General features: G+C 36.2%; 1 long non-coding RNA gene across 1 annotated transcript in view, besides 1 other annotated feature; it reads right to left on the reverse strand.

Moving 5' to 3' along the window:
• Positions 1 to 27,014, reverse strand: part of LINC01446 (long intergenic non-protein coding RNA 1446) — a 156,423-nt gene that overhangs the window by 63,964 nt on the left and 65,445 nt on the right. The window lies entirely within an intron of this gene.
• Positions 24,306 to 24,807: an enhancer, noted in NCBI's record as "H3K4me1 hESC enhancer chr7:53811471-53811972 (GRCh37/hg19 assembly coordinates)". NCBI's record gives its function as "activates a minimal SCP1, AML or CMV promoter by ChIP-STARR-seq in naive H9 embryonic stem cells {active_cell/tissue: H9 hESC(naive)}" and the evidence as "EXISTENCE:reporter gene assay evidence [ECO:0000049][PMID:30033119]".

The raw sequence follows: 27,014 nt of genomic DNA on the forward strand, positions 1-27,014 counted from the left end.
TTTTCAAATGAATCAACCATAAATATTTATAAATAGATATTTTATCACCTTTTTGGTGGTGATGCTTTGGGACTCTAATCACTTTCTGTATTGCTAGCTAGATGTGTTGGCTCTAGGAGCTGCTGATTAGCTGGAACATGGTTCCTGATGGTCATCATGACAGCTGCAAAGCTCAGTGGTTTAATTGTTATGATGATTTCTTTCTTCCTTAGTTTCAGGAAAGGATTAATAAAACATTCTGTTGGAATATTTTAATGGCATCTTGCTCAGTTGCTCACAATGTTACCCCTTTGCTTCTGATCTCTCTTATTTAACTCAATTCATATCAAATCTCTTCCATTTCTCTCATCTTACAGTGTACATCAATTTGCTATTCAAGCTCAAAATATTCCAACTAAACTCCTACGTTCACCTGTAAATGCTGTTTAATGCATTCAAATCCATCCAATCTGGCATTGAGGCCCATTGATAATATATCTATCATCTTGTCCCTATGCATCTCACTATAAATGGCCTATTTAGAGTCCTTAACACTTCCTCTTTCAACTACTACCATGTCCTCCAAAAGTCTGGAGGCTCACTTCAGGGTTACCCACCAACCGCACTCTTGCTTTCTCCCCAGCTAGCATTTTTCTTTTTCTTTTTTTTTTTTTAACAGAGTCTTACTCTGTTGCTCAGGCTAACGTACAGTGGTGTGATCTCTGCTCACTGCAACCTCTGCCTCCCGGATTCAGGTGAACCCAGCCTCCAGAGTAGCTGGGATTACAGGCACCTGCCACCGCACCCAGCTAATTTTTCTATTTTTAGTAGAGGCAGGGTTTCATCATCTTGGCCAGGTTGGTCTCGAACTTGTGACCTCGTGATCCACCCATCTTGGCCTCCCAAAGTGCTGGGATTACAGGCATGAGCCACCGCACCTGGCCCCAACTAGCATTTTCTAAACTGCTGTTTCTACCATTCCCCATAATCCTCAAGGTTCTGTCCTGCTGTAGCCTGGCATTGACACTCTAACCTCAGGCTGCTTCACTGGCCTAAGCTTCAGCAGTAGCAGCCCCAGCTCCTGAGACATGTCCTTCTCCCATAGCAGCAGAACGGATGCATTCTTCTTCTGCCCAGGAAGCACTTTCCTCCTTCATCAACTTGGCTAACCCTGTGCTTCTTCAATTCTTCACTCAAGCAGAACTCCTTACTGGGATGACTTTCATCTCTTCACCTGAGCATATCCTTCTTCTGGATCTCATGTTGTTGTATGTTTCATATTTTGTAGTCTCTTTGCATTGTCATGGGTTTTATTTTGGGGTTTGCCATGTCTTTGTAGTAGTTTGATGTCAATTATTCTTTATATCTCTGGTACATCCTGGATGGGCAACACATTTACTGAAAAAAAGTTTTATATATATATGTGTGTGTGTGTACATATATATAAAATATTATATATAATTTATTAAATGATTTGATCCCAATCACATTTCATTCCTCATGTAATGTACTGTATGTTATAATCATGTCTGTGGTTGCGTGAATGGGGAGGGGGTCCATTAAGAGCAGTAAACTTTATTTTGAAATCCAATAAATATTTACTATTATTAAAATATAAATATGTTTAACATGGAATCATGATGAATAAAAATCTTGAGTTCATTTTATGTAAGACGTGAGTGACTGATTACTGTTGCACTCGCTGGGTCTTCCTTTTGCTGAGGGTGCTGCACTACACTCTGAGATGCAATGGGTGTCAAGGGATTCTCATTGTACAGGTGGACAATGACCATGGGAGGTGGAGGGTAGTGGGCACACCAACAGGTTCCACGGTGACAATTTCCTGTTTCTGCAGAGACCTTCTTGGGCCACCTCTCTGACAGGGGATTTTCTTTTGTTTCATTTTGCTTTCCTTTTGTAAGTGGAGAACATCTTTAGCTTCCTCCAGGGAACTGAGTGATGGAGCAATCAGGAGTTAGTTTTGTGATAATTACAGCTGTGTCAAAGCAGTGACGGAGAATTTGTGGAGAATCTCATTTACTCTTCTGGAAGCACATCTTTTCATGCAAGCACCACTTCACAGACTGATTTGCTCGAGTCTGTCTGTGCTGAATTTAGAAAACAGAGCCATTTGTTTTTTCCATTGGAAATTTTCCTGGCTCATCAAATAAAATCTAAATAATACCTTCATTTATTTGTCAGCACCTTGTTACAAACATAACCTTTATTTGTCCATGCTTTACCATGAAGTGATTACTTAGAAAACTGTTAGTAGGAAACTTTCCACTCTTCTGAGTTACTTTATTTCACACAGCCTGATGTCCGAAATCACTAACATTTTAAATATCCTGTCATAAAAAAACTGAAGGTGATTTACCAGTGAAAATGTACAAAATAAGATTCTTTAATATACTATTTCTGAGTATCACAACCAAAAAAATTCATTTTTTAATCTTATTTGTGTGTGTGTGTGTGTGTGTGTGTGTGTGTGTGTGTGTGTTCATAATTCTATAATTCTTATGGTCAGAATTCAGGGAATTTTTCTATCCCAAGAGAACCTTCATCATTATGAATGAACTATCTGCAATGATTACTAATCCCATGACAAATGACAGCTATTTTCTGAACACTATACATGTACTATTTTATTTATTAATTTAGAAGCATCCAATTAAATTTTGGTTTGGTGAATATGCTGTACACAGGAAATACATATTAAACATTGGAAAAATAAGTAAAAATCAGGACCTTCAAAAATGCATCATTTCTTACGAAAGGTAGGTAAATATCTAAAGTACTTATTATAAATATGTAGTGGTAGGGGCTGTCTAAAAATATGCTGTAGAAGCAAATGTTGCATCTAATGACAAGCTAATACTACAATAGAATGAAGTGGTCAAGTAAAACTATGAAGCAAAGATAATGGCTAGCTGATAATTAAGAAGTTACTAATCCCAATTACTAGGTAGATGAAGGACTTAATAAGCAAATAAGTTTAAATACATGGCGACATGAGAGAACATGTTACACCTCAAGAACTGCAAGTAATTTGATGTAAAAAGAAAAAGAGGGATGGAAAGTCAATGTGTCAAGGAGTATAAGTAAAGGTCAAATTATGTCATGGTAGGAAGTTTAGGAATATTAGAACAGAAAAGTCACATATAGTAAACAGGAAATTATATTTTATAGATTTTTTTTTATTTCCTTGTGAAATCAAATTTAAAAAGATGGTAGGCCTGGTGGCAGTGGCTCACGCCTGGAATCCCAGCACTTTGGGAGGCCGAGGCAGGCAGATCACGAGGTCTGGAGATGGTGACTATCCTGGCTAACACGGTGAAACCCCGTCTCTACTAAAAATATAAAAAATTAGCGGGGCGTGGTGGCGGGTGCCTGTAGTTCCAGCTACTCAGGAGGCTGAGGCAGGAGAATGGCGTGAACCCGGGAGGCAGAGCTTGCAGTGAGTCGAGATCCCGCCACTGCGCTTCCAGCCTGGGGGCCCAGAGCAAGACTCTTGTCTCAAAAGTAAAAAAAAAAAAATAAAAAAATAAAAAGAGGGTAAAGTTTCCTGTCAAAATGTTGCTATGAAATTAATATAAGAATATATGACAATTTCAAGTGTAGGCATTAGCCATGGAAAACTATTTCGAGAAAGTAAAAGTATTTTTCCATGTATTTAAAAGCACATGTTTATATATTATATTTTGCCAGGTATAAGCCTATTTGCTTTATAAACATTTGCTTCTTTATAGTCCTTAAAATAATCATATTATTATCATTCTCATCCCATTTATAGATGAAGGAACATAAATAGAGAGATGAAGTAATTTCGCTAAGGCTTCAGACCTGGTGAATGAAAGAGCCTTGGGTTTGAAGCCTGGTAGTGCAGCACTAGTATGTTCTCTTAACTGCAAAACCATGCTATTTTTCAGGTTTAATCTTCTTTTTAAGTGAAGTGTAGCAGAGAAGAAAGATCCTGGGCTAACTTTCTGATAATGAATTGAGCAAATAGTTACCAGGTGCTTATAGTTAACTGGAATAGGATACCCATGAAATAAACTAGATTTGGGATACATTTCAGACACACTTAAGAATCTATCACAGCACTGTCATGTCTTTAGGTTAAAGACAGAAGTGTGGAAAAAAAAAAAGTTGAGAAAAGCTGTTTGAACTGCATTCATAGGTTTAAGGGTTGCAATTTCATTCAATTAAAAAACAATAGAAATAGTAATATGAGGAAAAAGCACATGTTGGAATTTCTGTTTCCAGCCAGCGTGGAGTAATAAGGACTTAACTTTTCATCTAGTCATTAAAAAAATAAAAACTAGACTTAATATGTAACACAACTCATTGCAAAATGAAGAACTGTGACCCCTGAGAAAAGAGAAGCACATGAGAGGTGCCCTATTGTCCAAGCGGTCTCCTTAGAACCATTACTATCAAATTCATGGAGCCCAGGATAGGGGTTATCATGATTTCCGGAGGTGGAGGTTGAGATTCTTGGGGAGACCATTGTAGTTGAAATTTTCAGTCAGAGTACCAGAGGAAGCTAGCAGAAAATGCTTTCCAAAAATCTTCCTAGGAGTCTTCTTGACTATGTGGCTAAATAAAAACTACCTGTGCATAAAGTGAAACTCCAAAGGCTGGTAAAGATGAACCTGAGAGCTTTACAAAAGAAAATATCAGTATTTTTGAAGACAGATCAATGAAAAATATCCAAGATGGAGTGATGAGAGAGAGAAAAAGGTTGCATTCCACCTCCTTCAGTGACAAAACTGGGGCCTGTATTTTAACTCTGTGACCCACTGAGAGTCTCACTAACGTTCACATTATACACCCACCCCACCTCATCTCTCTTTCTCTCTATTTCTTACACACACACACACACACACACACACACTCTCTCTCTCTCTCTCACGATCATTAGAAAATAAGAAGGCGATTCACTTCTCTTCTGCATTCTGGTAAACTTTTATTATTTCTGCTGGTAGATGTAGATAGCCTGTAACTCTGCCTTGATTATTCCTCTCCAAATCCCATCCCTAGAAAGTGCTGCCTATTCATTACTGATTTGCCAAATGCTTCTATCTTTCTTTTCTGTCATTACTCTTCAAGCAAATTAACAATGATTTGAATGTACATCCAGAAGTAAACTTTATATTTGAAATTATAGAACATTCCCCATTTGTCAGTGAAATATATCATAAAGCACATTTGAAACTATGGGTATCAAAGCACATTTGAAACTATGGGTATCAAAACCAGAAAAAAATATTGAGTTTGTAATTGAGAAATATGGCTGACACTACCTTAATTAAGTGATCATTCAACCTCCCCACTATTAGGACAAACTGACCTTTCTTCCCTTAATTGATAGACTGAGAAGGACACATCAGCCAGCTAAGTAGCAGTCCTGCTAAATGTTTAGACTCTAGTCATGAGAAATCAATCTAATGAATGCAAATGGGTGGATATAAGGTCTGAAGTTTTAAAATATCAGTGTTCTTAATTTCGATGTACTAAACAAATAAAACTTCAGGCCAAAAAAATGGAAAATACAAAGAAACAGAAAGATATAGAGAACATTATTGCAAAGATAGAAGAAAACTATGTGGAATGCATATAACATAATTGGATCAGTGTTACATTTTCTGAATGTTTTACTATATGTGGTTATGTAGATGAATCTTCTTGTTCTTAGGATATACATACTAATGTATTTCAGGGTGAAGTAATAAAGTGAAAGGTAGATCAACATGGCAAAATGTTAAGAACTGAAGAAGTTTGTCATTTTCATGAATAGAGTGATATTCAGATATAATATGAACCATAAATAAATATATATGTGTGTATATATACATATATATAAATATATATATATAGAGAGAGAGAGAGTAGACAGAGAGAGAGAAAGAGACAGAAAAAAAGAGAGAGAAGAGAGAGAGAGGTAGATGAATACATCTGCCCCAGGTTCCTGAAACAGAGCTCCTGAAATCCTTGTATTGTATTAATAGCAGAGATGCTAGGAGAATCATTTACTCTACTATTTGTTCTTTAACTCCAGTTCGTGACACAGAGCTCCTAAGACCTTTGTAATTTCCTGAGTGATAGGAGAATCTTTCGTTCTAATGGGGTGACTCTCAGTGGTTGGGTCTGGTTGCCAAGGAAATCATCTGTGTGATTTGGGGGTTGGAACTTTCAACCCCCACCCTCCAACCTCTGGGAGGGGAGAGGAAGTGAAGGTTGAGTTGGTTATCAATGGCCAATGATTTAGTCAATCACGACAATACAATTTCGTTAAACCCCAAGAGGCCTGGATCCACAAAGCCTCCAGATTGTTGAACAGGTGGCGATGTCTTGGGGGTGGGCCCAGAGAGGGCATGGAAGCTCCACCCTCCTTCCAAGCTTCCTTGCTCTGTGCATCTCCTCTGTCTGGCTGTTCATCTGTGACCTTTGTAATATTATTTATAATGAGTAGATAAACACAAGTATTTCCCTGAGTTCTGTGGAGGACTTCAGCAAATTAATTGAAGCCAAGGAGGGCATCGTGGAAACCCCAGATTTATAGCAGGCTGGCCAGAAATACAAGTTCTCCTGAGACTTGCACCTGTCATATGAAGTGGGGGCAGGCTTGTAAGACTGAGCCCTTAACCCTATGCCCTGAGAGACAGTGTCAGAATTGAGTTAAATAATGGAGCACCCAGCTGGTCCCTGCTATAGAATTGTTTGGTGTGTGGAGAAAAATACTGATACATTTAATGTCAAAAGTGTTCTGCAAGTATTGAGAGGGGTGAGTGGAAAACTAGGAAAACAATTTGTTTCCCATTTCTTACAAATGAGAGCACACAGTATCTTAAGATGTCTGTTCTTTCCAAATTTATATTCAAAATTAATGCAATCCAAATCAAAATCTTATCAGATTAGCTTTAGAGACTAACAAATTGTAAAATTATTAACAAGTACAGAGGAGCTAAGATAGTTAAAACAAATTTGAAAAGAACAAAGTGTTATGACTTGAAATACCTAATTTCAGGATTCACTATACAGCTACAATAATCAACATCGTATGTTATTGGCAGAAGGACAGACGCATAGATGAGTGGAGTAGAATAAAAAGCCTAGAAAGAAATCCATTTATATGTGAACAATTAAATTTTGACAAAACTCATATGTATCTAACACAGAAAAGCTAGTCTTTTAAAAAATATTTGGAACAACCAAGTATTAATTAAAAAAATACTCAATCTTTACCTCTCATCACATATAAAATTGACTTGAAGGTGTTCTAAACCTTAAACTTAAATCTATAAATAAAAAAAGTCTACAAAAATGTGGGATAAAAATTTTTGTCTTTGGTATAGCCAAATATTTCTTTGCTAGAATATAAAATGCATTGGTAACTTAAAAATTATGAATTGTACTTTATAGAACTAAAGCAAAAATACTCCCAAAATGCCCATTGTCATACACTGATAATATTACACTGATGATTTTGAAAACATAGACAAAATGGATGACATTTTCTGGGAAAACTAATTAATAAAAATAATACACCAAAAGCAGAAACCTGTATAAACTATGAAACAAATTGGGCTAATTAATGGCAAAAATTTTAAACTAAGGCAATTCCCATATTATTCTGAGAAAACTTTAAAGAGACTATAAAGTTCTCAGGTTATAAGCAAAATGTTCTGTATTATTGAAAAAGTGAGAAAACCTCCTGATTTATTAAGGAATACCAGAATAACCTTGACACCAAAAACTGACAGGATGAACAATGAAACTCTAGATATATCTTACTGCTGAATATAGTCGCCAACATTTTAATTTAATTCTAACAAATCAAATTGAGCAGTATATTAAAATTATGGCAAAGTGCAATTTATTCTAAGAATAAAAGTCTGATTCCATGTTAATTTTTTCTTTTTGTAATTTACAGCTGCACCTTTCAGCACTTTCTAAAGTTTTTGGCCTCCTAAGATAGGATTTGTATTAGTGAGAGGTATACATCAACTGAATTTCCTTATTTTAAACATTCATAAAGTAGAAGAGGGCTAAGAATAAAAGCAAAGTAGATAAGCCTTTTCATTTCTTTCTGCTCTTCCTTCATCTCTTTTGCATGTGCAGCTACACCTCACATGAATGCCTATCCATTCCTAGGCAAAGATTACCTTACAACTTCTCCTGTGCAGTTCACCATTTCCAGAGTCCCTCCAATTAAAGAAATGCTAGTCTAGCTGCAGTTCCCCTGGGTAAACTAAAAAATATCCTATATGATTACATTGTTCCCTATCTGTTCTGTACAAATGATAATGGTTTCACTGTTTAATACACTCATTTTTTTATGTTCCCAGGAGAATGCAGGTCAGGGATTATGGGCATTAATATTATTTCAGTTATTTCCTAGTCGATATATCCTAGGTGCATCATGTTCTCTAATAATCTTCTTTAAAAATACAATCTTATTTTAGTGCAGAAACCATTTTTAATAGTTTGCTTATTGTATTGTTAAACTATATCTTTTCAAAATGCATTATGAACTAATTCAAACTTAGCAAAAGACGCATGTACCCAGCTTAAGAAATACCGCAAATAGTAGTGTTCATGTGTATCTTGTCTAATCAAATTATCCTACCTCAATTTTTCACCAAAGAGTCAAGTGTTCATTTTACATGCATTTTTATCACATCAAATATGTCACAATCATATGTAGCATTATTTTTCATGTTTCTAAACTTTATAAAAATGCTATCATACTGCATGTTTCAGCTGACAATTTGCTTTATTCTACCCAACAGGGTTTGTTTTCCTCTAAGATTTTTCTAAGTTAATACTTATAGCTTTACAAATGTATTCTCACAATGCATAATTCTTTATTATATCAACAATTTAAAGTGTTGATTTGCCTGTTGACAATTTAGGGCATTTATACTTTTTTTGGCTACTATAAAGGGTGCTACAATGATCATCCCTGCACGTGTCAGTTTGAGGCACACAAGCAAGAATGTTTTAGCAGTTGCATTGTTTAGACAGTGGAAACATGCATCTTCAGCTTCCATATTTATTGATGAACTTCTCTAAATCAAGTTGGGTAATTTTTATAACCTTTATTATGTGTATGTTCAACTAAGTTTCTCTTTGCCATATTTCTCTCCATTCATCACTCCCAGCAATTCCTTCCTTTTTTTTACGTGACTTTTCTATGTGGACGCACGTCCTAAAATGGCTATAATCATTATAGGAGTGTGTCCATCCTGCTTGTGTGGGTGAGAAGCAGGAGGTGGGGATTAGTTCCAAAGTACAAGTAATTCTTTTGGGTGGAGTCAGGATGTCAAGGTGAGTGCTTCGTACCCCTATTCAGAGCCATCTATCAAACTACATTTTGGCCTTAATCTTTTTTAATCCACTGCTGTTTAAATTCAAGGGTCTGTGCTATAGAGTTCTGTCACTTCTTTTTGTAAATGAGATAATCTGTAGTTTACTTTAACATAGCTCCATTTAACCACCCTCTTATGGTAGGATTATAGCCACAATATAGTGTTAAATATTTGCAGAAGTAGAGATGTTTGCATTAAGTTCATTCATAATGTTTTAAAAACTCATAAAGCAGAAGAGGTCCAAGAAAAAGAGCTAACCTCTCTAATTTTTGTATACTTATGAAAGGGTTCTTTTCACCTTCATATTTATCTGTACTGTTCTAACCCAAGCCATTAGAATATTCCAATTATCTTGTCTCTATGTTTTTCCTAGTATCCAATTGCATTAGCAAGAATTTTCAGTAACATATTAAAAACAAATAAAAGAAATAATATAAAGAGTGAGCAGGATTGCTTTGGCCCTGATTCATTGGGAATAACCTCTATTGTTTCATTACTTAAGTGACAATTTTACTAAATTTGGGGCTGCAGTATAAATTAAATAACAGTCAACCTGTCTTCTTTAAAAAAATTTCTAATATGATAGTCTATTTATTTATTTTTTAACTTCTATTTCAGGTTTGTGGGTACATGTGAATATTTTTTATATAGGTAAACTCGTGTCACAGAGTTTGTTGTGCAAATTATTTCAATCACTCACGTACAAAGCCTTGTACTCAATAGTTATTTTTTCTGCTCCTCCCCCTCCTCCCACCATTTGCCCTGCAATAGGCCTCAGTGTCTGTTGTTCCCTTTTTTGTGTTCATGTGTTATCATTTAACTCCCACTTCTAAGTGAGAACATCCAGTATTTGGTTTTCTGTTCCTGCATTAGTTTGCTAAGGATAATGGCCTTCAGCTCTATTCATGACCCTGCAAAGGACATGATCCCATTCATTTTCTTTTTTTTTTTTTCTTTTGAGACAGAGCCTCCCTGTGTCCCCCAGGCTGGAGTGCAATGGTGTGATCTCGGCTCACTGTAAACTCCGCCTCCCCTGTTAAAGTGATTCTCTTGCCTCAGCCTCCTGAGTAGCTGGGATTACAGGCACCCACCACTATGCCCAGCTACTTTTTGTATTTTTAGTAGATAAGGGGATTCACCATGTTGGTCAGGCTGGTGTTGAACTCCTGACCTCAGGTGATCTGCCTGCTTCAGCCTCCCAAAGTGCTGGGATTACAGGCATGAGCCACCGTGCCTGGCCAATCCCATTCATTTTTATGGCTGCATAGTATTCCATTGTGTGTATGTACCACATTCTCTTTATGCAATCTGTCACTGATGAGCATTTAGGTTGATTCCATGTCTTTGCTATTGTGAATAGTGCTGCAGTGAACATTCATGTGCATGTGTCTTTATGATAAAATGGTTTATATTCCTCTGGCCATATAACGAATAATGTATAATGTAATCGTGTTTCTGTTTTTGCTCGTTGACAAATTGCCGTAACATTTTACACAATGGTTGAACTAATTGACACTCCCACTAACAGTGTATAAATGTTTCCTTTTCTCTGTAACCTCTCCAGAATCTGTTATTTTTTGACTTTTTAATAATTACCATTCTGACTGGTGTGAGATGGCATGTCATTATGATTTTGATTTGCATTTCTCTAATAACCAGTAAAATTGAGCTTTTAAAAATATGATTGTTGGCTGCATGTATTTCTACTTTTGAGAAGTTTCTGTTCATGTCCTTTGCCCACTTTTTAATGGGGTCATTTGTTTTTCTCCTGAAAATTGTTTAAGTTCCTTATACATGCTGGATATCAGACCTTTGTCCAATGCATAGCTTGCAAAAATTTTCTCCCATCCCGTAAGTGGTCTGTTTACTCTGTTGATAGTTGCTTTTGCTGTACAGAAGCTCTTAAATTTAATTAGATCCCATTAGTCAGTTTTTGCTTTTGTTGTGATTTCACTGGGTGTCTTTGTCATCAAATCTTTGCCCATTCCTATGTCCAGGATGGTATTGCCTAGGTTGTTTTCCAGGGTTTCTATATTAGGTGGGTGCAAACATAACTGCAGTTTTTGTCATTGAAAGTAATGACCAAAACCACAATTACTTTTTTGTACCAACCTAATAGTTTGGGGTTTTACATTTAAGTCTTTAATCCATCTTGAGTTGATTTTTGTACCTGAGGTAAGGACGGGGTCTAGCTTCAATCTCATGCATGTGGCTAGCCAGTTATCCCAGCATCATTTATTGAATAAGGAGTCTTTACCCCATTGCTTGTTTTTGTCAGCTTTGTAGAAAATCAGATGGATGTGGGTGTGCAGCCTTATTTCTGGGCTCTCTATTCTGTTTCATTGGTCTATATATATGTTTTTGTAGCAGTACCATGCTATTTTGGATACTGTAGCCCTACAGCAAGTTTGAAGTTGGGTAACGTGATGCCTCCAGTTTTGTTCTTTTTGCTTAGGATTACCTTGGCTATTTGGGCTCTTTCTCAGTTCCATATGAATTTTAATTTTTTTTTTTTTAGTTCTGTAAAGAATGTCATGGGTAGTTTGATAAAAATAACATTGAATCTGTAAATTGCTTTGGGCAGTATGGCCATTTTAACAATATTGATTCTTCCTATCCATGAACATGAAATGTTTTTTCATTTGTTTGTGTCTTCTCTGATGTCTTTGAGCAGTTTTTTGCAATTCTCATTGTAGAGACCTTTCACCCCCTGGTTAGCAGTATTTCTAGTTATTTTATTATTTTTATGAGAATTATGAATGTGATTGTCTTCCAGATTTGGCTCTTGGCTTGGCTGTTGTTGGTGTATAGGAATGCTAGTGATCTTTGTATAGCGATTTTGTATCCTGAAACTTTGCTGAAGTTAATCAGCTGAAGAAGCTTTTGGGACAAGACTATGGGGTTTTCTCGATATAGAATCATGATATTGAGTGCATTTGACAACAACAAATAATGTTTTCCTGCAGCCTTTCAACATTTAAGGAATTATCATACAATGCATTGTATTCCAATGTAGTTTATGATTATATTAATTGATTAATGAGACACATTAATGTCTCTGTAGTTAATCTCCACAGTATGTTATTTTTTACTAATATATTGCTAGAATCTGTTTAATAACATATTTGTCATTGTTGCATTTATGTTGTTACATTTTGGTCTTTTATTTCGATGTTGTGCAATTAACATCAGTTTGAGGTATAAACATTATATTTGATTAATAAAAGTAATTAGAAGCATTTTTTAATGTTGTTCTCTAGATAATTTTAAGTAGCATTGAGATTACCCAGACCTTAAAATGCTTGAAAAATTCCCTGGGGAATTCATCTGGCTCTGGCACTTTTTTGTGAAATAGGTATTTTTACCTCTCTCCATTTCATCTGTATTAATTGGCATCTAATTGCCACAAATTAGCTCAATGTTTGAATTTTACTGGGTCTGATTTTGGTAAATAAAATTTACTTTGAATTTTTAAATTTTATCTGCATTTTAAAACTGGTCTTATTTTTATAATAATTTTGTTTGAGCCAATGATTATTCCCCTTCCAACATATTTTTGAAGTATTTTTACTTTTTTCTTGATTCTCCTCTTTGGTTGGTATTCCATATTGCTTTTACACAGAATAAAATTCAGTTTGTTTGTTTTTTCTATGTATATTATTTTCTGCATTTACTTTTTAAATTTGAATTATAACTTTTCTAGACTATTGAGTTATGCATTTAGTTCATTTACTCTTATTATTTACTATTGGTCAATAAAGCATTTAAAGCTATACATTTTATTTGGTAATTGCTTTTATTTATTTTATATAAATTCATATAGATAGTGTTTCATTGTCATTACTTCTTATAAATTCTACAATTTTAGTTTATATTGACTCACTTTTCCCAAAAGTTGTCTAGTAGATTTTCCCATTTCCTGATGGAATAATCTCTGTTTTTTGCTTCACTTTTGACCATTAGTACGGCACTATAGTTAATGAAAATTGTTTTTATTATTCTCAAATTATGGCATTCTTAGGTTTTCTTGTTGTCCTAATATCTGATTAATTTTTGTGAATGTTCTATGTGCAATGAGAGAAGTTTTATTCTTTAGTAAAGTCATATAATATCTATATGTACATGCATAAAGCCTACATTTAATTATGTTAGTAACATTTTATATTTTCATACTTGTTGCTCTGACCTTTTATGCGATAAAAATGGGATGATAAATTCTGCTATTGTGAGTACTTTTCTGTCTAATTTTCCATTCACCTTATACACTTTCTTTTTTTCTTATAATTTTCAATACATGTGACTTGATGCATAGATATATATCAAGGTCAATGGTAACTTTTAGCATTGACAAATATTCTTTTTCCCATTTAAATCTACAAAGCATAATTTGGTTGAGTGTGGTGGCTTATGCTTGTAATCCCACAACTTTGGGAGGCCAAGGTGGGCGGATCACTTGAGGTCAGGAGTTCAAGACCAGCCTGGCCAATATGGCAAAAGCCTGTCTCTACTAAAAATACAAAAATTATCTGAGCATGGTGGCCACACCTGTAATTCCAGCTAGTCTGAAGGCTGAGGTGGGATAATTGCTTGAACTCGGGAGGTGGAGGTTGCAGTGAGCTCAGATGGTGACACTATAGTCCAGCCTGGGTAATGGAGTGAGACTCTTTCTCAAAATAAATAAATAAATAAATAAATACATAAATACATACATAATAATGTAAACTTTTCTGATACTGGATTTCCTATGAATAACTGTGTTTTTAATATGCCTGGCGTATCTGCCCATCTCTTGTTTAGGTCTATCTAAATCCCTTTGTCTATGGTTTGTCTCTTGTATACAGCACACAGTTGGATTTTAATTATTGAGCAAATTTGAAAATAAACCACTTTTAATAAAAGAACTGTGCTCATTTACACAATTGATATGAATGACATATTTGGTCCCAAATCCTTTGTAATATTTTTAAAGCTTTATTGAGGTATACTTGGCCTAAAATAAATTGTATATACTAAAATAATGTGATAAACTTTGACATGTGAATATACTCTTAAATCATCCCCACTTTGAAGACACAACACGTACATTGCCTTGAGGTTCCTCCTGTCTCCTCCTAATCTTATCATTGATGTCCTTTCTTTCCCACCAAATGCCATTCAAAATTATATATTGATCTATTTTGTCACTGTAGATTAGTTTGCGTTTTCTAGAATTTTATAGAATTAGAATTCTAAAAAGTATGCTTTTTCACCTTTTAAATACAACACAATTATTTTGAGGTTTATCCATATCCTGCATATCAATAGTCCATTTCTTTTTATTATTTTGTGGTATTCCATTGCATGAATATATGACAGTCTATCTATCAACATGTTAGTGATATTTGAATTGTTTCCATTTTTTTGGCTGTTACAAATAAAGTTGCTGTTAATATCACTGTACAAATTTTTTTATAGAAATAAGCTTTTTTTTTTCTTCTCTGGGGTAAATATCTAGGAGGAGACTGGCTTAATTATATGGTAGGTTTATGTGTAATGTTTAAATAAACTGCCAAACTTTCCCATAATGTCCACACCTCTTCTCATTTACATTATCAGTGTAGAAGAACTTCAGCTCCTTCATAGTCTTGTAAACACTTGGTATTGTCAGTCTTTTTAATTTTAGCTTCTTTAGTGGGTATGTAAGTCATACCTCCTTCTGGTTTTAATTGGCATTTCCCTACTGATTAATATGTTGAGTATTTTTAAATATATTTATTTACCATCCATATATTTCTATATAAATTTTTCAATGTATTTTTTTCTATTTTAAGAGTATTGATTTTTATGATTATGATTTTTTGAGAGTTCTTATATATTCTAGATACAAGTCTTTCTTCAGGTATGTAATTGGCAAATGTTTTTGTTTCATATGTGATTTTTCTTGATTGTTAATGGTGTTTTTTGAATAGCAGACTTCTTAATTTGATGAGATCCAGGTTATCCTCCTTATTGAAGAAAAAAATTGTTGTTTATGGTGTATCTTAAAACTCCTTTTTCAACCTAATGATGGTCACAATTGTTTTCTCCTGTAAATTTTTCTATAAATTTAATTCTTCTAGGTATTATATTTGGGTCTCAGATCAATTTTGAGTTACTCCATGGACTGGAGTTTTGTTTATTTTTCTGTTTAAGTTTTTGTTTGATTGCTTGCACATAGTTATCCAATAGTTTCAGTACTATTTACTGAAGAAACCATCTTCTCTTTACTGAATTGCCTTAGCACATATGTCAAAAATTTCCAGATGTACAGGGACCTATTTCTGGATTCTACATGCTGTTCTACTGATTTATTTGCATATATTTACACTAAAATTGAATGGACTGAATTACAGTAATTTAATAATTAATATTGAAATCAAGTGGTATTTGTCTTCCAAATTTATGTATTTATTTTGAAGCAGGTTCTCCCTCTGTCACCCAGGCTGGAGTGCAGCGGTGTAATCATGACTCACTGTAGCCTTAGCCTCCTAGGCTCCAACAATCCTTCACTTCTACCTCCTGAGTAGCTGGAACCACTGGCATGTGTCACCATGCTCAGCTGATTTTTGTAATAATTTTGTACAAGCAGGGTCTTGCTATATTGCCCAGGCTGATCTCAGAAATAACATTTCTGAGGGTTAGGTGAAAGTGATGTTTATGTAAATAACTAGAAATGAATTGAGTCTGTAAGACAAGAAGCAACAAAATCTGCATATAAGTACTGTACTCTATTGACAAAGTTGCTCCTTACAGGGTTATGGGTGAACAATTCCACAACCACTAAATACGCATCTGAGATTGAACAATTAAGTAACTTGCTGGCAGATGGTATGAGCCAGGTTTGGTGGAAGGTTACAGACAAGGAAGGGGTAAGGCTAGAATAATGTCATACTTCTTTACACTGCGTTAGAGTTGGAGACATTAGCATGAATGCATACTTAGCTTAATATATAGATGGATATAATAAACATGTTTATAGAAGTGTCTATATACACTGATTAATATATACGTGCATATTTTCCTGCTTTTTCAGCAAAGAAGGCCTAGAAGCAATGATATTTGACAGCAAGAAGTATATCCTACCCACAGATCTTGTTTTCTCACAGCATTCTCCAATGAAAAGAAACAGGATCTTTTTTCCTTGGTTTATCTATTGGTATATTATGGGGTTGGTGTAGAAACTGCCAGATTTGAACCTGGATTATCATGTAGTGCCAAAAACTAAAGAAGTGTTCAAACAAAAATAATGATGGCGTATGTCAAAAATGCAGAGGCTTCAATTGTCAATGCTTGAATAACTTGAGCAACAAAATAAATAAATAGTATTAGAGTACAACTCAAAGGTAAATATCCTTGAGTATATGCAGATATAAGAAAATATCTGTCATGCCTATAATCCCAGCACTTTGGGAGGCCAAGGAGGGCAGATCACGAGGTCAGGCATTTGAGAACAGCCTGGCCAACATAGTGAAACCCCGTCTCTACTAAAAATACAAAAGTTAGCTGGGTGTGGTGGCATGCGCCTGTAGTCCCAGCTACTTGGGAGGCTGAGGCAGGAGAATTGCTTGAACCCAGGAGACAGAGGTTGCACTGAGCTGAGAGCATGCCACTGCACTCCAACCTGGGGGACAAAGTGAGACTCTGTCTCAAAAAAAAAAAAAAGAAAATATTTGAACAAATAAATAAATAAGAAATGATAGACAAATCTCCCACGTAGTAAAACTTCAATAGTTTACATAGACATTACCCAAGAGGTGATATATCTTCCCACCACTTAAGAGTAGGATGCACACATTGATTTTCTTCTAAAGAATACTGTAGAGAAATGGTAACAGAGATTAAATTTACAGTGTGCAAACCTGGCCAGTGTTAACTAAGACATATGACCAAAGTTGACAGTATAACTGATAAGTCAGGATCATAGCACACACACTTGATATGATGTAGTCATTCTTCTAATAAATCATAATTCCAGTCTATTTATGAGAAAACCCCAGACAAATCTTAATTGAGGACCATTTTACTAAAACCTGACAATATTTCCCAAAACGCTTAAGGTCATCAAAAACAAATGAAAATACGAGAAACTGTCAAAGCCAAGAGGTGGCTAAGGAGATATAATGACTAAATAAATTATAGTATCCTGGATAGGATATTGGAACATCAAAAGGACACTAAATAAACCAAGTAAATATTAACAATGTATAGGCTTTGCTTAATAATGTGCCGGTATTAATTCACTTGTTGTGTCAAAGATACCACCATAATATATTAACAACAGAGGACACACAATGTTGGGTAAGTGAAATTTCCTGTACTATCTGCAAATGTCCACCTAAAGTATTCCTAGGTAAAAGCTTGTCTAAAAACAAACAAACCAAAAGCAATTTCAAATTCTTAGTATACCACATAGATTATTATCTGCTCAAGAAATTCTGCATAAATGGTTATTGATCTTGTTAATAAGGCAGTGCATCTGAGAGATGCTTAAAAATGCACCAATGTTTATGTTTCAGGATATCAGAAGGGTTGATTTTTGAAGTTAACAGTTTATATTAGGAATAACGTGTTACCAAAATACAGAAAAGTCTGTCAATTTTACAGTAAAATATATCTCTCTTGAATATGAAGGGAACAATCAGGAATTGAAGCTATAATTAAAGAATACATTCAAAACCCACAAGGCATTAGCATACTATGCAGGAATGTTTCCAAATATATGTACATATTGTATTCTTTCTATATGATAATTTATATTTAACCTTATTCTATGTGTTTTATATTAAAACTTTTAAACACCACATTTCACTGATTTAAGACTAGATTAATGTTAAAAATTTTACAAACCAAAAGCAACATACAGACTGAATGTAATCTATATCAAAATCCCAACGACATTCTTCACAGAATAGAAAAAGCAATCCTAAAATTTATATGGGACTACAAAAGACCCAAATAGCCACAACAATTCTGAGAAAGAAAAACAAAGGGGAAGGCATCACACTACCTCATCAAAATTATATTACGAAGCCTTACTAATCAAAAGAGTATGGTACTGGCACAAAATCAGACGCACAGACCACTGGAACAGAATAGGGAGCCCAGAAATAAAACCAAACATACAATCAACTAATTTTTTAAAAGGTCACCATGAGGACACAACAGGCAAGAGAAACAGAGATACCTTGGTTTTATGGTGCTTTGCTTTATTTTACTTCACATATATTGCATTTTTTAAATGAAACTTTGGGCAACCCTGCATCAGGTAACTCTTATCAATGCCATCTTTCCAACAACATGTGCTCATTTTATGTGTCTCTGCCACATTTTAGTAATTCTCAGAATATTTCAAACTTTTTTATTGTTACTTTAACTGTTATGGTGATCTGTGATTAGTTATCTTTGATATTACTATTGTAATTGTTTTGGGATGACACAAACTGTGCTCATATAAGATAGTGGACTAAATTGGTAAATGTATGTGTTCTGACTGCTCTACCAATCAGCCATTTCAACTTTTCTCTCCATATCCTTGTTCCTCCGTCTTCCCTGAGACACAATAATATTGAAATCAGGCCAATTCATAACCCTACAATGGCCTCTAAGTGTTTGCAGGGTAGAAATAGTCACACGGCTCTCATTTTAAATCAAAGCTAGACATGATTAAGCTTAGTAAGCAAGATAGGCTGAAAGCTAGTCTTCTTGCACAAGACAGTCAAGTTGTGAATGCAAAAGAAAAGTTTTTTTAAAAAAATCAAGTGTTACTCCAGTTGACATAGAAATAATAAGAAGTGAGACAGCCTGAGGTAGTGGCCTGGATAGAAGATCAAATCAGTAACATTTCCTCAAGTCAACACCTAATCCTGGGCAAGGTTCCAACTCTCTTCAATTCTATGAAGGCTGAGAGAAGTAAGGAAGTTGAAGAAGAAGAGTTTCAAGCTAGCAGAAGTTGGTTCATGAGGTTTAAGGAGAGAAACTACCTCTATAACACAAAAGTGAAAGGTGAAACAGCAAGTGCTGGTGTAGAAGCTGCAGCAAGTTTTCCAGGACATCCAGCTAAGATCATTGATGAAGGTGGCTACACTAAACAGGAGATTTTTAAATGTAGATAATAGAGTCTTCTATTGAAAGAAGATGCCTTCTGGGACTTTCATAGCACTTTCAGAGGAGAAGTCAATTCCTGGCTTCAAAGCATCAAAGGACAGGCTGATTGTCTTGTTAGAGGCTAATGTAGTTGGCAAGTTTCAGTTGAAGCCAATGCTCATTTACTAATTCAAAAAAGCTAGTGCCCTTAAGGGGCCCAGAAAAGCTAGGGCTGTTATGCTAAATCTACTCAGTCAGTGCTCTATCAATGGAACAACATAGCCTTGAGGACAGCACATCTGTTTATAGCATGGTTTGCTGAATATTTTAAGCCCTCTGTTGAGACCTACCACTCAGAAAAATAAAATTTCTTTCACGATATTACTGCTCATCAGCAATGCACCTGTTAGCCCAAGAGTGCTGATCGAGATCTACAGGGAGATTACTAATGTTGTTCTCACAACTGCTAACATACTGTGTATTCTGTACCCCATAGATTAAAAAGCAATTTTGACTTTCAAGTCTTATGATTTAAGAAATACAATTTACAAGGCGCTATAGTTGTCATGGATAGTGATTCCTCTGCTAAATCTGGGCAAAGTAAATTAAAAGCCCTTCAGAAATAATACACCACTCTAGCTGCCATTAAGAACAATAGTGATTCATGAGAGAATGTCAAAATATCAATATTAACAGGAGTTTGGAAGAAGGTGATCCCAGCGCTCATGGATGACTTTAGTGGGGCTCAAGACTTCAGTGGAGGTAGTCACTGCAGATGTGAAAGTACCAATAGAACTAGAATTAGAAGAGGAGCCTTAAGATGGGTCTAGATTGCCACAATCTCATAATACAATTTGAGTTGATGAGAAGTTGTTTCTTATGGATGAGCAAAGAAAGTGGTTTCCTTAGGTGAAAACTACTTCTGGTGAAGATGTTACAAACACACTTCAGATGAAAATAAAGGATTTAAAAAATTACATAAACTTGGTTGGTAAAGCAGTGTGGCAGGTTTTGAAAGGATTTACTTCAATTCTGAAAAAAACAAAAAACGTGGTACTGTAGGTAAAATGCTATCAAGCACTATTTCATGCTATGAGGAATTTTTTATGAAAGGAAGAGTTAATGGATGTGGCCCACTCATTTTTATCTTATTTTAAGAAATTGCCACAGTCATCCCCAACCTTCAGCAACCACCACTTGGATAAGTCAGCAGCCATCTATATGGAGGCAAGACTCTCTACCAGCAAAAATATTATAACTCATTGAATGCTCAAAAAATTATTAGCATATGTTAACAATACAATATTTTTAATTAAGGTATGTGTATTGGTTTTCATTAGACATAATGTTATTGTACGCTTACAGTATAGGGCAAACATGACTTTATATGAAATGACAAACCAAAAAATTTATGTGACTCACTTTATTGCAACATTCACTTTATTGTGGAGGCCTGGAGATGGAATAATATTATAAACTGTCTGGGCAAAACTGGATTTTCACATGGAAAAGAATTAAATTGAACTCTTATCTTACACCATAAACAAAAAACAATTTAAAATGAATAAAAGATATATATGTAAGATCTGAAACTATAAAACTCATAGAAGTGAACATAGAAGCAAATCTCCTGGACATGGCGATGGCAATGAATTTTTGTATATCATACCAAAAGCACAGCCTACAGAAACAAAAATAAAACGGTGAGATTACGTCTAACTAAAAATGTTTCTGGCCATCAAAGGAAACAATCAATAAAATGAAACAGCAGCTTACAGACTGGAAAAAAAAATTTACAAGCCATGTATCAGATGTAAAGAACTCATTCAACTTAATATGAGAAAAACAAATAACCTGAATAAAAATCAGCAAAGGACCCAAATAAACATTTTTTTTCAAAGAACGTATAAAAATAACAAATCATTATATGAAGTCTCTCAGTATCATTAATTTTTAGAAAAATGCAAATAAAAGCCACTATGAGATACCAGCTTGCACCTGTTAAAACAGCTATTATCCAAAATTTAGACGGCGGCAGCCCCACCTCATCTCCATGCCGCCACTGCTACCACTGCAAACGCATGCACGGATGCTGGCGGCCCTGCACCTACTGATGCCACAGCCACCATCACAAACACAAGCATGGAGCCTAGTATTCCCATCCCCACCAGCATGCCATCTCTGCCACATCACAGCAGAGGAATGCTACAGCCCTACACCAGCCAGTACCCCACTCCAGCTGACATATGTGCTCCCCACCGCACTCCCATGGCTACTGGCATGCATGAGTAAGCACAGTCCTCATTGTGACTTCTCTGAATGCTTTGGCCGGCCCCACCCATCAGAATATTGTGGCCAGTGGACTAGGAACACCTTGGCAGCTCCAATTCAGCAGGTTCCTAACCTCAAGGGGCCAGAGAAAAAAGTCAGGGACTAGTAGCAATCCACCAGAGGTAAAGCACGCAGCCCAGGAATGCTGAGCTCAGCCTTGGCCCCCCAAAATACTCCAGAAAGACATCCAGTTGACTGAACCCTTCTTATACCACAATCAAATACTCAAGGGCATCAAAGAAGATAAAAGCACACACACACACACACACAAAAAGAAATCTGCCCAAAGTATAGCAACTTCAAAGATTAAAGGAATGTCAGCCTTCACAGATAAGAAAGAACCAGTGCAAGAATTCTGGCAACTCAAAGAGTTGGAGTATTTTCTCACCACGCTAGTTCCCAGGCAGTGATTCAGAATAGATTCAGATATGGAAAGAGAATTCAGAATATATACAGCAACAAAGATGATCAAGTTTCAGGAGGAAGTCAAAACCCAATCCAAGGAATCTAAGAAATATAATGAAAAGATAAAGGAGATGAAAGACAAAATGGCCATTTTAAGAAACAACCAAACTGGCCCGATAGAGCTGAAAAACTCACTTCAAGAATTTCATAATACAATCACAAGTGTTAACAGCAGAAGTGACCAAGCTGAGGAAAGAATCTCAGATTGCAAAGACCAGTACTCTGAAATATTGCGGCCAGACAAAAATAAATAAAAACAAATAAAGAAGAATGAATGAAGCCTCTAAGAAATAAGGGATTATGTAAAGAGACCAAACCTATGGTTCACTGGCATCCCTGAAAGAGAGGGAGGAAAAGTAAGCAATTTGGAAAACATATTTGAGAATATCATCTATGAAAATTTCTCCTACCTTGCTAGAGAAGACAACATTAAAATTTAGGAAACACAGAGAAGCCCTGTGAGATGCTGACAAGATGTCTTCAACGTACATAGATTCTCCAAGGTCAAAATGAAAGAAAGATATGTGAAAGGCAGCTAGAGAGAAGGGGCAATTTACCTATGAAGCAAACACCATCGGGCAAACGGCAAACCTTTCAGCACAAAGAGCTTTGTTGGGCTGGATCTGTAGATCAAAAGCAATTACCCAGAATGCACATAGAGGCATAAGAAGATGATGAGTTAGAGAAACAAAGTCTAGTAAACATCTACACAGATCTGCAGAAAGAAGGAAGGGGGAAAGTTATGAGAGTAAACCTTTCAATATATAATAGATGAGAAAATTCTAGAATTTATGACAGACTGCCCTGTATATACAGGGAACGCAACATATTCCAGTAGAATAGAATATTTATGTGAAACAGAGAAACAGTGACAGAAAATGAGAAAAAGTGAGAGAGACTATTTTTAAGGTAGAGAGAAAAATTGCAATAAATAAGTATGTGAGAGTGTAATCATTAAAAGTTAGAAGACAGTAGGAAAATATCTTAATTGTATGTTAATGGAAAATAACTTTCAATTAAGAAATGTGTACCAAAATGTTTTAAAAATAATGACAGGATAAAGATGTTTCAATTAAAAGTTTAACTGAAAATATTTACTTTCAAAATAATCTTACTAAAGATCTTCAAAAAATGTTTTAAGAAGTAACAAAATTCCAGAGAAAAATGTGAAATGGAAGAAGAAATGAAAAATAAAATAATAAACATTTGACCAATATAAAGAATTATTGGGCCAAGTGAGGTGGCTAATGCCTATAATCCCAGTAATTTGCTAGGCCAAGGAGAGACGATTGCTTGAAGCCAGGTGTTTGAGACTATCCTCTGCAACAAAGAGAGACCTCATTGCTACAAAACTGAAATAAAATCAAATTAAAACTTATTCACGTGAAGTAGACTGTGCCTGTAGTTTCGGCTACTTGGGAGGCTAAGGCGAGAAGGTTGTTTGGTCACAGACTTTCAAGGCTGCAGTGAGCTATGATTAAGCCACTGCTCTCCAGCCTGGGTGACAGTAAGAACCAATCTCTAATAAAAAAAAAATTAAACAGAAATTAAAAATATTTATTTATTGAACAATACATTTAAATCCTAAATCTAGAAATTAGGATAAAGATAAAATATGGAGCAATGGTATACTAAAGTGTAATGTATACCTTATATAACACTATGCTAATTTTAATCTTTTAATAGAGAAATTAACATTTTACATTAACCACTAAAATAGCAGTAATAGAGTAGTAATGCAGTAGTTCTAAGCTGGTAGGAGGTAAAAATGGAATAAGGTGCAAAACATTTAGTAGCATAAAAGGTAAGAAAGAAGCAATGATGCAGAAAGAGAAAAAGGAAGAAAACAAAGTATAATACCTAAATATATTCAAGAAAAGCTAGAAAGTAGGAAAATAGCTTAAAGCAAGCAATAAATAAAACAAAATAAAATGAGATTCAAGTCAAGGTGGCAGATTAGAAGCAGCTCTTGAGCCACCCTCAGGACGAGGAAATGAGGTGGATGGTGAACACTGGCCCTGAGTGATGACTGTGAGACAATCACCTGAGAAGCACTGCAGGCTCCATCAAGGCAGAAAGGGACGCAGAGGACAGAGACGAGCAAAGCTGGGCAGCAGCCCACCTAGGATCAGTGCAGAGCCAGGAGAAGCTCCCAACACAGGAAAACAGTGAGTGAGTGACAGCCCCCAGGGGATTCACGCTTCCCGCAGGGACCTGCCCAAGCCTGTAAATGGGAGGAAGGTCCTGAACTCACTGGGGCCTCTAAACTGATACAGAGAATGCCCAGAGTTTTTGAGGGGATAGTATGTAACTTTATGGGGAACTCCACAGGCCTTGGACCCGAGAGTAGCCTGGTGCTACTTTCATAGCCACAATAAGGACAGGGCTCAGGAGCAGTAATTTTTCTACTCCCCTCACCAGACAAGGCTCAGCACAAGCTTCTAGCAGAACAGCCCTGCTTCTGCCTGAGCTTTGCAGGCTGGCGCTGCCCTGTGTTCCCCCAGGGAAACAACCAGACAGCATAGCCAGTGATTCCACCCACCCTGCAGCTTGTAGCCATGTGGGCCACACCTGCTGGGACTCCCAGCACAATAGCCACACTTCTGCCTGAACTCCGTGGGTAGGGGCAGTTCTGTGTTGCCCAAGGAAACACCTGCACAGTGGATTGGGTGACCCCACTCACTCACACTCCTCCTAGGTGGGCAAGACACATCAGTCGGGAATTCCAACACAGTGGACTCACCTCTACCTAAACTCTGTGGGAGGGTGCAGCTTTATGTTGCCCTGGGTAGCACTGAGATGACGAATCAGGTGACTCCACCCACCACCACTGCTGCTAGCCCAGTTGGATTTGCAAGTTTAGGCATTGCCTAAGCAGGTGGGAGCCCTCACTCTTGAAACACTGAGAGGTGTTAGATGCCCAGGTTTGCAGGCTGGTGGAGGAATAGGGTGTGCCTCCCTCTACAGGGCAGTCCCAGGAAGCATAGGCTGGTCTACCAACTGCGGACCCTGCCTGAGGGAGTCGCATGAACCAGAATATTTAACAAAGGAAACATGGGTGTGGAGCTAATGACTGGAGGGGGCACATCTGAGGCTCTGGAGCAGTTAATGTGAGGGGTCATCTCTCTCTCCCCCACCCACAGAACACTACTGCCAACTGTGCCAAAACATAAAAAAGCCTGGTGCTAAGAGCCTATCTGCCAGCCAACACTGTTAAGCACTACCTACTCGATCACAATCCAGAATACAACACCAAAATATTTTGCCAGTATAAAGTGCCAGTGAAAGCAAAAGCAAAGGCTCCTGCCACAAATCAAGATTCTGTACTGAGTCCTGGCTCTCTAAAAACACTCAGAAATGAGGCCAACTGACTATACTCAATTTATGTCACAGTTAAAGGAACACCAGCCTTCACACATGAGAAAGAATGAATGCAAGAACTTTGGCAACTCAAAAAACCAGTGTGCCCCCTTACCTACAAATGAACACACCAGTCTCCCAGAAATGCTTTTTAGCCAGATTGAGATAATGGCAAGGAAGCTCATCAGGATTGAGAATAAACTTGAAACCTAATCCAAGAGATCCAAGGAATCTAGTATAATCATCCAGGAACCACAAGACAAAATATCCATTTTAAAAGAGAACCAAACTGAATTTCTGGAAATGAGGAATTTACTTCAAGAATTCCAAAATATAATAGGAAACATAAACAGCAGAATAGATCAAGCTAAAGAAAGAATCTAAGTGTTTGAAGACCAGTTCTTCAAATGAAATCCATCAGACAAAAATAAAGAAAAAGGGATTTTTTTTTTACATGAGCAAAACCTCCAGGAAACAGGGGATTATCAAGAGACGAAATCTGTGACTCGTGGGTATTCCTGAAAGAGAAGGAGAGAAAGTAAGCAATTCAGAAAACATTTAACGATATAGTCCATGAAAATTTTTCCAGTCTTGCTAGAGAGGACGTACAAATTCAAGAAATACAAAGAAATCCTGTGAGATACTACATGAGATGACCATCCCCAAGGCACATTCACCAAGGTCACCACAAAAGACAAATCCTGAAGGAAGCTAGAGAGAAAGCTCAGGTCACGTACAAATGGGACCTTATCAGGGTAGCAGCGAAACTCTCAGCAGAAACCTTACAAGCCAAAAGAGGTTGGGGGCCTATATTCAACATTCTTAAATAAAAGAAATTGCAACAATGAATTTCATATCCAGCCAGACTAAGGTTAGTAAGCAAAGGGGAAATAAGATCCTTTTCAGACAAGCACATGCTAAGGGAATTCATTACCACGAGACCTGACCTACAAGAAGGTCTTAAGGGTGTGCAAAATAAGGAAAGGAAAGACCATTCCAGCCACCACAAAAACACACTTAATTACATCAAGCATTGACATTATAAAGCAGCCACAAAAACAAATCTGCAAAATAACCAGCTAACAACAAAATGACTGGATCAAATCTGTATGTATTAATATTAATCTTCTATGTAAAATATTAACCTTTATGTAAATATTAACCTGTTATGTAAAAATTAACCTTTTATGTAACCTTTTAATTGAGGCTAAAGCCCCAATTAAAAGATACAGAGTGGCAAGATGGATAAAGAAGCAATACAGAATCGTATGCTGTCCAGAGACCCATTTCAAATGGAATAGCATTTGCAAATGCAATAGCATAGGCTAAAAGTAGAGGGATGGAGAAAAATTTACCAAGTAGTTGAAAAACAGATAAAAGCAGGGTTTGCTCTTCCAATTTTCA

This window comes from Homo sapiens, chromosome 7, assembly GCF_000001405.40.
Source record: "Homo sapiens chromosome 7, GRCh38.p14 Primary Assembly".
Classification (NCBI taxonomy): domain Eukaryota; kingdom Metazoa; phylum Chordata; class Mammalia; order Primates; family Hominidae; genus Homo; species Homo sapiens.